Source organism: Homo sapiens, chromosome 9, assembly GCF_000001405.40.
Source record: "Homo sapiens chromosome 9, GRCh38.p14 Primary Assembly".
Classification (NCBI taxonomy): domain Eukaryota; kingdom Metazoa; phylum Chordata; class Mammalia; order Primates; family Hominidae; genus Homo; species Homo sapiens.
Window position 1 is genome coordinate 12,144,916 of NC_000009.12, and position 14,471 is coordinate 12,159,386.

Genomic DNA, 14,471 nt, shown 5'->3' on the forward strand with positions numbered 1-14,471 from the left:
TCATCAGGACCTCCTAAGGCTGTGTCAGTGGTGCACATCCTCAACCTTGGCATATTAAACTTTCTAAATTAACTGAGACTTGTCTCAAATTTTTTAGGTTCACAGGCAATAGTACAAATATAAAACAAAAGTGTATCAAAAAGCTACACTTGTTGTTTCTGAGATAGAGAATAGTACAATACAGAGAGGAACACTGTGTAATGGAGTTAGATAACTCTGACATATTAAGTAGGTACTTTAACTTTCAAGCCTCCTTTTACTTATATGTAGAGATAGGAGAAATAATAAACCTAACCTATGATACTTGTCAAGACAAAATGTTATAAAAACTAAAATATTAAGCACAGTTTCTGACACAAAGTATTCCATAAATGTTACTGTCAATATTACGTTAAAATTTGCTTGTGTAATATTTTCAGAATTAATTTTTGAATTTGTATTCATACTTCTATTCATCAAAACATCTCTTCTTCCTCTTTTTAAAACTCTAATATGTAAATTACCACTGTCATCTAATATATCCTGCTACTCATTCAAATTTCAATTATTTCATTTATTTGTATGTATGTTGACTTATAGGACTCCTATTTTGTTAAATGGGTTAAAATAATTACTGAAAGTTTTCTTTGATGCTCAAATTGTCCCAGATTTGTCCAGGGACAATGCATTCAAGTTGGTGCCAGTGTCATTTTGCCAAGTCCACATTATTCCTTCAGCACTCCTTTGATCTCTGGTACAAAAATATATCCTAGGTTCATCTTGTACTTGAGGAGAGCAAAAATCACCTGGTGACCATTGAACAGGCCCTCTAGATTAAAAAAAAAAAAAAAAAAACTCCTTATCTGAGGAATTTAGAAGGGACCAAAGGTTACCTGGTGACCATTTAATAGGCCATTCGGAGGCAAAACTCCTTATCTGGGGAATTTTAAAGTAATTTAACTTCTCTGGTAACTAAAGTCAGCATCTTGTTCCAGGCCTATTTCAGCTTCTATAAGTAACCAGAATTTCTATACATCTCTGGAATGCATGCATATCAAAACTCATTGTGCATTCCTTGCTGACATTAAGGCACCAAAATGTCTACAAATGTAATCATTTGTCTTGACCCAGGTGACTAATATGGCCCAAATTACCCTTAAGCTCTTGTCTTAAGGTTTATAAATGCTCTTAAGGAAAATCCACCATCTCATGCTTAGTCCTCTCTCTAAGGCACCCCACTGTACTTTTCCACAACATGCTTTCTGATAAAACTTTCCTCTTTTAAACCTATACTCTTGTTGGTAAATTCTTCTTACCAAGCCTCAAGTCAACCACTTCCCTATGCTGGAGCTCTGACACCTCTTCCATCAGTACTTACCTTTTCAGTCATAGGAAATCAGTCATTTCTCAGAAAAGTCCTTGTTCCTTTTAAGTCCTTGTGTTTTAGAAGTCATGATCTGGTTGTGAGATATGCTCCTTAGCACTGGAAAGTCACTGCTTCTGGGTCCTGTCAGTGGACAGAGATATACATGCATTCACAGATGTTTACATCTATATTTATTTCAATGTTTATCTATATATTTTTAAAACCACGAATTCATACAAATACCTCCAATTGCAGTCCAATATTATAATTTTTAGTCTAATTTTCTCTATTTTAATATTTGTAACATCTTGTTTTGAAAGCAATGTACTTAGATGTCATTATCTTTAACACATTTCCTTATTCGATCAATTTCCTGGTGAATTTTCCTTCTCGATTGCCACCAATTTCCATAAGTGCCATTATCATCCTGTATAGGCTATGACCCACCCATACCAGGCCACCACTCATTTGGATTCTCTCCTCAGTCTGCTTGGGGTGTGACACCTATTTTGGACCATTTCCTTGCTTGCTCTGACTAAGCTAAGAAGTTCCCTGAGTTGACTCAATCATCATCCTGTTTTAGCTCTAACTCCATGTTCTCAGCTGTCATATTCCTCTTCCTCACTTCTGGCACAGATGCCTGTCTTTATCTGCCTCGTCCAATGTCTTTAGGACTGAAATATTCGACAAGAGAAGATGAATAAATAAAAGAGAATGGAAAGAGGACAAAGAAAAAAAAATAAGTGATCACTACTATATTTTTTTTAAATGTTTGTGGGTATATAATAGGTGTATCTATTTATGAGTACATGAGATGTTTTGATACAGGCATGCAATGTGAAATAAGCACATCATGAAGAATGGGGTATCCATCTTCTCAAGCATTTATTTTTTTAGTTATAAATAATCCAATATATTATTTAAGTGATTTTAAACTATAAATTTAAGTTATTATTAACTAGAGTCATCCCACTGTGCTATCAAATAGTAGGTCTTTCTATTTTGACAATAAATAAAAAATAAAAAAATTCCAATGTAATATATATCCGTAAGTATTATTTCCATTAACTTATTTCATCACCAAACTCTTGTTAATTATCAAAATATGTCATCAACTACCATACATACTACACAAAATGTAATTTTTATGTCTCAGTCTAAAACCTTAAAATGTTATGTCTCATTAACTTGATTAGTACAGCTTTGAACCTCTGTTTGAATTAAAAATTAATAAATACTATTTGATATTAATGACCTTTTTGAGTATGTGTGGTTTCTCAGCCTCTTAGAAAATATATTGAACTAATTCTTAGTAGAGGACAGGAAGAATGTGGTTTAGAGTATGACAAAAGTTAAGAGACATCTTAACTTGACCAAGAGACATCTTGGTCAATGCAAAATTCAGAGATTCTGTCAGACATGTCAAACACTAGGAATAAAAGTATAGGGATCATTATTCAGAATCAATTTTAATAAGACTCCATGGTAGAATTTGGTATAGGAACTAATTACCATCCACCTAAAAAATCAAGGACATTTCCCTTTAGCCCAAAGCACAATGGTTGAATTACTGTATTATACTGTATAAAAGGTGGCTCATTTATTTCTGCATTGACATTTATCGTGAAAACCAAAAAAAAATTTAAAAGATGTCATTGATACGATATCAATTCTTTGTAGCTGACTGTCCTAGACTATGTATATACTTTAAAGAAAAATTATTTTTGCTTCTACCTTAGCCCAAGATCTATAATTATATAAAGTCCTCAAAATACAGTTTTTTCTGTACTTTGCAATATCCACTAAAAGTTTAAAAACTCTAACTATCTGTTTCTAATTATTTAAAGTAATTTTTGCTGATAATTTACAACTTAAGTTACATAGTGCATTTTTAAGAAAGTATGCAATTAATTCTTCATATCAAATAAAATTTTATTACAAAATAATGTGTTCTAGTAGTTTAAAGCATACAATGATGAAACAGAGGTACATCTTTTGCTAAAACATCAAAATGATCTCCTTAGTTAAAATAATTGTTGGAATACATTCACTACTTTTTCTTATGTAGTAGATATAAAATAAAAATATACAGCTTGACTACCATGACCACAGGCCAAGATTTTGAAATGTTTTATCACTTCTAGACTGTTGGGTTAGCATCTGACTGATGGCAACCTTGAATCATATCTGTTTACTATGGTCCTTTTGTACAAATCATTTGATTGGAAAGTCTCTAGAACTGACATGCTCAATAGAAAAATTTTAAAAAGACAGAAATCAGAGCAGTATATTCTATGTTATACAATAGATATATTGAATTTATTCCTTCTGTAATTAACAACAGTATATTATATTCTTGAAAACCATTAAGAGAGCAGATTTTAAGGGTTCCCACTACAAAGTATGATAGGTAATGCATATGTTAAGGATGTGAGGTAATGCACATGTTAATTTGCTTAGTGGTGCCATTACACAATGTATACATATTTCAAAGCATCATCTTGTACACAATAAATAAATATAATTTTTATTTGTCAATTAACAAGTAAGAGGTGCTTTTTTGTGTGTATATAGTGATCAACTGGAAGGAGGTAACATTTCCAGAGTGATGGAAATGGTCTATATCTTGATTGTAGTGGTGGTTCTGAAGCAGGAAATTCCCCTGACCCCTTCATGGGTGGGAACTGGAGTGCGAAGGTGCTAGCAGAGACTAACTCCACTCACGCAAACCTGCTGTGCTCAACCTCCTGTGGAAGGGAGCATGCAGGTAAGTGACCGCAGGGGCTGAGGTGAGTGCTTTTGGGCGCTGGCAGGAATGAACTCTGTAATGGCCCCATGGCATCACCTAAGGGTGTGCCTGTGATGTCTGAAGTCCCAGAAGGAGTGTTTCAGTCAGTCCTCTTTTACCTTTGCCATCCGTGATGCCTTAAGTGTTAAAAACTTAGTGGAGGGTCAGTGTGACAACCTTTTGCACCCACACCCAAGTTTTTGTCCAGCATCCAGGAGGAATGAGTCGCCTGAACAAATTGGAGATGGTAAATGAGGAGGATTTTACTGCCAATAAAAGCGTCTCTCAGTGGGAAGGGGAGCTGAAAAGGGGACTGAGTAGGAAGGTAATCTTCCCCCAGATTGTGGCTGGGTATGGTTGAACTCCTCTCCAAAGCTATGCTGGCAAGCTGTCCTTCTGAAGTCAAGCTGCTTCTCTCCAATGTTCAACCATATTCTCTGACGTCCAGCTGCTTCTCATCTCTGCAAGTTGAGTCTGGGGTTTTTATGCGCACAGGATGGGGGGCAAGGTAGGCCATGGTTGGTTTTGGGAGAGGCAACATTTGGGCAGGCAAACAGGAATGTATGTCCTCACTTTACTCACCTCAGGAAAACAGGGATGTATGTCTCAAGCCACAGTTCCAGGCTTGAGAATGGGGCCCTCACTTGTGGACCTACTCTCTTCTGCCCAGAATTTCCCTGCCTCCTATGCCTATCATTTCTGTAAGTATATATTTTTATTAAAACGAATAGAATTTCTACTCTATGTAAATTTTACCTTAACTTTAAAGTCACAAAAAGCCAGAAAATGTTGTAAATGACCATCATATCCAGTATATAAACTATGTTATTAAATTCATTTTATCTCTTTAAAAATATATAATTTATATTTTCAGCAAAAAGCAATTTTACTTTCAGTGTGAAATACATATTTGTAGACTCATTTCAATTTTAATTCTAGAACCAAATGCTAGGAAGATAACATAATAAATCCAATATCTCATTCTTCAAATAAAATATAAACTAAATATTTATTTATTTATTTATTTATTTGAGACAGGATCTCTCTCTGTCACCCAGGCTAGACTGCAGTGGTGGGATCTCAGCTCACTGCAGCCTTGACCTCCCAGTCTCATGCAATCCTCTCACCTCAGGCTCCTGAGTGCTGGGACTATAAGTGTGCACCACCACACCCAGCTAGTTTTATTTTTGTAGAGATGGGGTCTCACTATGTTTCCCAGGTTGTTCTCAAACTCCTGGGCTCAAGCAATTCTCCCACCTCGGCCTCCCAAAGAGCTGGGATTACAGACGTGAGCCACCACTTCTGACCTCAATACTTATTTTTATCATAATCAATAATCAGCAAACTTTCTTAAATTTCAGGTTCTGTGTGCCAGACTCTGTACCTACCTGGTACTTCACATTACTTTTTTTTTACTTTTACGATTATGTGAGGTGAATCCTTTTTAAAAAATTTTATAGAAGAGAAAACAAAGTTTCAGACTCATCGAATACTTTATGAATACAGAGCTCATAGATAATAGTGCCAGTATTGATGTAATATAATTACTTCTATTGTATATCAAAGTTGTTGTATTTCCCACTACCTGTTGCCAAGTGTCTAATGACAATTTATTAATTTATTCTGAGAAATTAGTTTTATGGATCATATATTTATGCCATATTAGCCTTTTCTTTTTCTTTCCATTTGTTTACTGCATTAAAAATGATTTTAAAAAGTGCTTAATGATCATACAATCTGAATCTAGAGTATTATCAACTTATAAGTAATTTATGTATCTTCCAGATAGCTAGGACTTGCTATGCTACCTCTTTTTCCTGACAGGGTGTAAGATACACTTGAAATAGTTAGAGGACGATTTACAATGAGTTATGTTCTGACTTGATACAGACCTTTGTATAAAACAGTAATTTTGTTATAAAATAGTCTAAAGTCAGAAGTAAAACACAAATTGTCAAAGACTTACACTGAAGTTTTGTGATCCTCTTCGTATATGCAGGGTATCTAGCTAATTGGATCTTCCTTTGTATTTTTCAGCAAAATAATACAAAGTAAGTTGTCTTAGTCAATTTGTGTGGCTACAACAAAATACTATAGACTAGGTAATTTATAAAGAGCAGAAATTTATCTCTCATAATTTTGGAGACTGGGAAATCAAAAATTTAAGGTACCAGCAGGTTTGTTGTTTCATAAGGGTTCAGTCTGTTCTTCCGAGATGGTGCCTCAAATGCAGCATCCTCTGGAGGAAGGAACACTTTTTCTTCACATGGAAGAAGGGAAAAGGGCAAAAAGAGAATGCTATGGCCTAAATGTGTCCCCTATAGCACATGTAATTCTCACCAGACAACTCAATCTGCCAATGCCTTGATCTTGAATTTCCTAGCCTTCAGAACTGTGAGAAAATAGATTTCTGTTATTTGTAGATTACCAGTCTGTGGTTTTCTATCACACAGCACAAAATGGATGCACACGTAAGTGTTCTGTGCTTTTGCAAACTTGATTCTGGTATACACATGGAGGATATTTGATGTTGTTACTGTGTGTGAACTATACACTATAGTAACCTTAAAGGTGCAAATTGAATATGAATAGGCTTGACAATTAAACTCAGTATTTCTCTGCAAGCTTCTGGGTATAATGACATGAGCAAGCCAGGAAGAGGTGACCAAGAACCAAATGATACTCCCAAACAAATTGTGTTAACTCACTTCTGATAAAGAAATAGATTTGACTTGACTATAATGTAAGGATAGTCGTCTTCCAATGCTAAAGTCAATAATATGTTCAAAATTATTTTGTTATATCATCATCTAACTAATAATAGTATGTTACATTATTCCTCAAGATTGATTTTTTTTAGTGTCTTGCATGGTTCTAAGTTCATACAATGTGCTCAATAGTTGTTGTGATGGTTAATATTGAGTGTCAACTTGATTGGATTGCAGGATTAAAAGTATTGTTCCTAGGTGTGTCTGCGAGGGTGTGGCCAAAGGAGATTAACATTTAATTCAGTAGACTGGGAGTAGCAGACCCACCATCAATCTGGGTGGGCACCATCTAATCAGCTGCCAATGCTGTTAGAATAAAGCAGGCAGAAGAAAGTGGTATGAGCAGACTAGCGGAGTCTTCTGGCCTTCATCTTTCTTCTGTGCTGGATGCTTCCTACCCTCACATATCAGACTCCAAGTTCTTCAGCTTTTCGACTCTTGGACTTACACCAGTGATTTGACAAGGGCTCTCTGGCCTTTGGTCACAGACTGAAAACTGCACTATTGGTTTCCCTACTTTAGAGGTTTTGAGACTCAGACTGGCTTCCTTGCTCCTCAGCTTGCAAATGACCTATTGTGGGACTTCCCCTTGAGATAATGTGAGCCGATACTCCTTAATAAACTCCCCTTTGTATACACATCTATCCTATAAGTTCTGTCTCTTTAGGGAACCCTGACTAATACAGTTATTTATCTGAAGTTTATGTATGTATGTATGTGATTTTAGGGAGCCTCCATTTAATCTGTAATAACTAACATGAATCTGGCATTATAATAAGCCAATTATGTTTTATTCTAGTTTTGCAGATTTTATTTTTAAATTTAATCCACAAAATATTAATACTATGATGTAGTTACAATCAAATACTTCCAAGAAAAAGAAATAAACATAAATAAGTTTTTCAAGTTTACACAGCTATAAAGTGTCAGGCCATGATTCAAACTCGGAAACTACAATGCCACAGCCTGACATCTCAGTCATTCTCCTACTTTAAGGATGAGAACCTTGCTCTCATTACAAGAGGATGACATAGAAAATTTGTCCCCCCAGGTCCTTTTAACCACACATTACACATATAATATTTAAAGACACCATGAAAAGGGAGCAAGTAGAAGCCCATCAAAGTTATTGGCCGAGGTGGAATGGGGATTGTGGTAGTATCTGATTCATAAAATTATCATATAGTAAAAACTGTTTAATATAAATTGAATGCAGTTTAGGTGTCAGGCACTGTTTGAAGTTATTGACGTGTCTTAATTTAATATGCAAAACAACCTTATAAAACCAGTTCCAATACACTACTTAGGTTATAGATGAGAAAGCCAACACACAAACAAATTAAGTACCATGTACATAAATAGAAAGGGATAGTGGTATGTATGCTGAGCACAATGAACTTAGTTGAAGCCTCCCTGATATTTTAGTTTGCTCTGCTTAGTTTGGAAGAAGGAGATCTCTGTTTGTGCCTTTGAGGATTTTCTCCGGAAATTAAGTCTACATGCTATTGACCATTGTCCCCTACAAGATTTCTATATATCATTAATTTTAGATTCGAGCTACAATAGTACAGGGAAGGTTGAAAACATTTACTTTTGAATCAAATAAGACTGACTTTTTTTGAAAATCTCATTTTTTTACTCTGCTTGAATAGCCTTTCAAGTGCCCTTTAGTCAGTTAGAAAGGCAAGATAAAAAGAAGGTACCAGATGATCTGGGTTTCAAATCCCTGCTCCACTTACTAATTGCATTACTTTGGGAAATTTCTTTAATACCATAGAGAGAATTAAAATCAAGCAATACCATTGTATTTGTAAAGCATAAAGAGCAGTGCCTGCCATATAGTAAGTGCCATAAAAGTTTCACTGTTATTAATCTAAGTGTACATTTTTCTCATATGCAATGGTGATAATATGTAGTATCTATCTCAAGGGTCATTATGAGACTAAATTGGATCACCTAATTTGTTTTCCCGATGCAGTAGCTATGAGACATGTGTGGCTATTGAGCACTTGAAATGTGACTAGTACAACTGAAGAACTAGATTTTTAAAATTGATGTAAGTAAAATCATCCAAGACTTTCTCAAAAATGTGACAAGAACTCAGATTAAGCTCATCATGAATAGGAGACAGAAAAGAAAATATCATGGGGATGATTACGGAAGGCATGTAGAGGCAAGGAAGGGAAGAGTACGTTTGATGAACTCTAGGGGATGAAAACACATATAGTAAAGTGAGAACATTGAAAGATGAGTCTAGGCTGCCATCCTCAACTGTTTTGGGAATTTTTGTACAATAGTGATAATGAGCAACACAAGGCTAAAAACCATTCTTTTTATTGCACACCCAGCTTCCCTTTTGCACAAAACATATGTTTGTGAAATGCTTAGCTTGGGTTGGAGCTGTAATTGGTAGTCTTGAATTAAGGTAAAGCTAAGACTTCAAAGTGAATTTAAACCCATGGCTTTGAAAACCAGCATTATAAGCAAACAGTTGTTGGGTTAAAATGAAAATAATTTCCCACCCCAATTTAATACTATTTTGAAAATGAACTGGCAATTTGAGAACAATTATATGTGATACCCTAGTGTGAAAAAAGAGATTTAATTGAAGTTAGGAATATTGTTGATCACATAATGTGAGAAGGGCACAATGACAGGCACTGTGTGGTGGACAAACGTAATTACTCAGGTGGACATATATTATTTCATTTGCCTGAGCAGTAGTATCCTTATTCTGGGATATTCGCTTTCTAATCATGTGGCTTTGGTGGAGAATTGCCCTCCATGATACATTTCTAACAATATTCATAACACATCATCTGTACCTGAAGGTGATAGTCCATTTACCTAATAGACTGGTCTAGGGGTGAGCAAATAACCCAAGTAGGGCTAATCAGAGTCTTTCTCAGAAATTTCAGTTTGGATTTGAAAATGAAAAATGCTGTCTTCACCTGAACATAGCTGTTAGACGTGGGAAATGGCAATGGTAGTGTCACACAATCATATAGGGGAGTCAAACATGTACACGCAGCTTTAATAGATGTGATTTATAATGCTAACTATATTTAAATTGCAGATATTTGTTGGCTTTGTCAATATCTATTCACTCTTCATGTAGCTATATGTTGTTTTAACTCTGGTATCACCAATCCTTCACAACCCCCTATGCCAAATGTCTACTCTTTTTAGAGTTGATTTCACTCTAGTATGGAAAGAAATAAACTAGGCCTGAGAGGCACCACATTTTATTTTCTGTTGACATGATCCATTTAGAGGTAGGCATATGAAGCAACCCATGAAGCACACAGAGGCTTTTTTTGTTTGCGTTCCTGGGAGGGAAACAGAAATTTTCTCTGCCTGTCTTGGCTTTATAATGTAAGGCTGGATTGTTGTAACCAACTTGTGACTGTAAGAAAAACATTCATAATTTTTACAGACTTCCATGTGGAACCTAAAAATGAAACCAGGTTTGTAGAAGGCAGCCAGAAATGAACAGGAAACGAGCCTGAACGAGCCCTTAATATGTGGTGATGGGTAAAATTGAATATACCCATGAATTTTCAGGTTCCTAAGCTAGTGAGCTCCCGACTCACTGCCGACTCTCTTTCTCTCTCTCTTTCTTTTACTTTGAATGAAATTTTCTCTCACTAACAAAATAAAATTGTAAGAATCCTTACTGATATGGCAATAACTGTCCTGCATTCTTATATGAGTATTTCATAACATGGTAAGAGATACTCTAATATGTAGAGCAATCTGAAGAGAAGTGACATTGTAACAAAATATTTTGGGCTTGGCATACATGCTGGTCTCCTCAATCTGTCTTATCTGAAGTGTATTCTGTCAGCTTTTATTTCATAACTTGAATATAGCCTTAACTTGTCTTCAACCTAAAAACATATACCCTGCCCATGGCTTGCTGAACTTATTACAATTGATATCACTTCCTTTCTTCTTTTAAATTCTTTTCCCAATTTTCTTATCCACATAATACCTTGGACATATGGGCACCATCAAGTAGTCTGATTGACATTAACCATTGGCCCTCTAGGCATTCTGAAGCCTTTCATAGTTATAGAAAATAGTTGCTTGCATCCTAGAAGTGACAGGTAGAAGAATAAATCCTGGGTTGTTAGGGAAACTGTACAAAGGATTGAAAACACGTTGCTCTATATCCAGAGCAAGTGAATTATCTCCAGAGAAGTGTTCTTGACAGCGATGAATCAAATAAATGGTTTGCCTTCCTGAAGTCAGAGAAAAAAAAGATTCTTAAAAATAACATGAACCTACTATTTAGTTGGATAAATAACAAAAAATACTGTCTCTTCTCCCTTAATTCTGTTTTTAACAATGAGAATATGATTCAATTTATATAGCTCTTCGGACTTGAGTTTGTAAAATGCAGATAAATTCATGAAATTAGAATATAACATTAAAAGTATACTTTCATTTATAAATTGACTGTCTCAGACTAAAAACTAAAACCCTGACTGGATATGATATTAGGAATAGACTCTTACTCTCTCTTCTTAATTCATGCCACCCCCAATCTGCACCCCATTCTGTTTAGGACTTTGAGTTTTCTATTTCCATAATTACGTTGGAAGTTTGAGGCTTCAGAAACAAAAGTTGTTTTCAACCATTCCTCTGGAAAATTTACTGGAATGCCTATCAACAAAAATAATATAAAAATTTATTTAGAGAGGTACTGTATTATCTAGTGATTGCTCAAATTCAAAACTACATTTTATCATTTGATGCATGAAAATTGATTAAAGAGTTTCTTTGTTATGAGGTTATAATTCCTTCTGATAAAATCTACCAAAATATACAAGCATTGATCAATAAAAGGAAATTGATTAAAACAAGTCTTTGCATTATGCAAATACTTCCATCTTCAGAACTATATTTTCTGAGTATTGCATGAGAATTTGAGACAAATAGGATAAATTATGTCCTTGGGAAAAATAAATAAACTATAACTTTTTGTTTCTTGGGTTGAGACAATTATCAAATATATGATCCTCAATTTATAATGCAACACTCAAAATTCAAGTGAATAGTTCAGGGAATAGTACACGAGTTTCCAAAAAATAGCTTTATAAATGTTCTGATTAAAACTTAAAGAATGTGTTCCTGTTATTACTTTAAAATGTATAAAAGCATATCCAAATTATATTTACATATTTTTTATTTTAACAGGATTATTTTTTACCATTTAAAATTTTATGTAATTATTAAGCTTTCTATTTTTAATAAGACATAATCTTCAAAAAATGGAAGCACTTAAAAAAATGTGAACCCCTAACATACCTTTATGAAATGAAGATTGTCAGTATATTCTTCACAAATTATTCTAATCTAAATTAAATGTAAAACAATGAGTATAATTTCAGATTACATTATGTATGTAATATATATTATCTGACAGTTTTCTATTAGACATATACATATATTTCTCCTTTTACGTTTCATCACTATATAATAAATGTTCTGTCCTATCGGCACACAGACATATAAATCTTTGTTTTAATATACTGCATGTTTCATATAAAAGATGTATTAAATTATTTAGCTAGCGTTTTCCTTGATTTTTTTTCTTTGCTCAAATAAACATATACTTGTGCCTACCTATATCTGTAGGGGATTGATACCAGAGTCCTCTTTAATACCAAAAGTCACCCACACTCAAATTCTGCAGTTGGCCTGTGGAACTCAAGTATACAAAAATCAGCCATTGGTTTCTATGAGTTTTGCATCCCCAAATACTGTATTTTCCATTCGTGTTTAGTTGCAGATGGGAAACCCACAGATGCAAAACTGGGTGTATCTGCATATAAGTGGGTCTGCATATTTCAACCTGTGTTGTTCAAGAGTCAACTGTATTTGTAAATATAAACATTAATAATTCCATGTCTATTGAGTAGGCTCTTAAAAGGTGAATGTACATTCATTGAGTAGGCATTGAAAAAGTGTCTCCTGAAGGGCTACTCCAATACATATTCTCTTGAACTTGGGGTTAAATAGTCATATCATCGCCAAATCATAAATTTTCGTCTCTTTTTAAACATTTATTTATCTTAATCTATTTTTTTCTTACCATATTTGTTATGGTAAGGACATTTTAATGTTATACTAGTGATTTCAGTTTTTCATAATTTTAATGGTCATGTTTTTAAGAGTTTCTGTAAGTATCAATATCAAATATCCATATAAAACATCATGTTTAATATTAATTTCTAAAAGATATATTTTTATCATGATAAGTTTCCCTTTAATTTTATATTCATAAGTGTTTCATTATTTACTCAGGAATTGATATTGAATTTATCAAATATCTTTTCATATCTAAGGAGATTTCATTCATCTTTTAATGTAGTGAATCACATAAGTCATTTTCCACATCTTGATAATTTTTTCAATCTTATATTAACACTTTCTAAATCACACCACAAAATTCTTTTAATATAATTCTGTATTAAATTACCCATATTTTATTTAGAATATTATTTTATGGTTATATGTAAGTTTGGTGTAGAGTACCCTGTCATGTGTAATATTTTCCTAGATTGTATGTTAGAATTATAGTAATCTTATGTAATAAAGAAATGTTTTTTGTCTGCTCTAGACATTTAAAATCAGAGAAATCATCTCTAGTTTAAAGGTTTGGCAGAAGTCTCAGTACCATGTGAGCCTATTATTTAGAATCTTAAAATCTATTTCTATTTCAAGTTTTCTAAGCCTTCCTAATTAAATATTCTATATCTCTCTGGAATATTTTATTTAATCTGATTTTTCAAATTATTAGTATATAATACCATATAAATTTTTTCTGCTTTTAGGTTATACATGCACTTTGTTTAACCTAATGTTGACCTTGTTGGTTTCTCTATATTTTTTCTTGATAAGATTTGGCATAAGTTTGTCTATTTTTTCCAAAAACAGTTACCATGTACTTTTCAAACTAACTTATTTTACTATTTAATAGCTTCTATTTTTATTTATTTGTTTATTTATTTATTTGCATTCTTTTGAATTACTTGTTAACCAAAGTTTATAAGTGTTGAAATTCAGTTGATTTCTCCTGACATTCTTGTTATTTTAGGCCTAGAATGAAAGATTCACAAAAATATTTCCCACAGTATTGTTTTCTTCTCTCCTCTATGTAATTTAGAAACGACTATAGTTTCTAAAATATTATTTTAATACTCACACTTTGGAGTCAAGATAAAAAAGTTCTAGAGCGATTTGCGTGAAAGCTTTTCTTTTACCCTAATAGAGCACATGTGATTCACTTAACTTGTTAATTGCTATAGTTTGAGGCAGCTACTCCGGAATTCAGGTGTTGTCAATGTAACAGTATTTAGAGTTGGAGTTTCCAAGGTGGTTAGGTTCTGAAGGCTTCGCTCTCATTAAGGACCTTATAAAAGAGGCTTCATGCAGCGTAAAGCTAGCTTGCTCTTCTATGCTTGTGTCAGGTGATGGTGCAGCAAGAAGCTCCTCATTAAATGCTAGTGCTTTGATCTTGGACTTCCCAGCGTCCAGAAAGGTAAGAAAATAAAATTTTGTT

At 33.8% G+C, this 14,471-nt stretch overlaps 1 long non-coding RNA gene across 1 annotated transcript in view; it reads right to left on the reverse strand.

Annotated features, from left to right (window-relative positions):
• Nucleotides 1–14,256, reverse strand: part of LOC105375976 (uncharacterized) — a 60,514-nt gene extending 46,258 nt beyond the window's left edge. The window contains exons 1-2 of the long non-coding RNA NR_188496.1: nt 14,115–14,256; nt 1,358–1,486 (exon numbers count right to left, since the gene is read on the reverse strand). This is a non-coding gene — a long non-coding RNA (uncharacterized LOC105375976). The remainder of the gene's footprint in view (nt 1–1,357; nt 1,487–14,114) is intronic.
• Between the last annotated feature and the right edge of the window lie 215 nt (nt 14,257–14,471).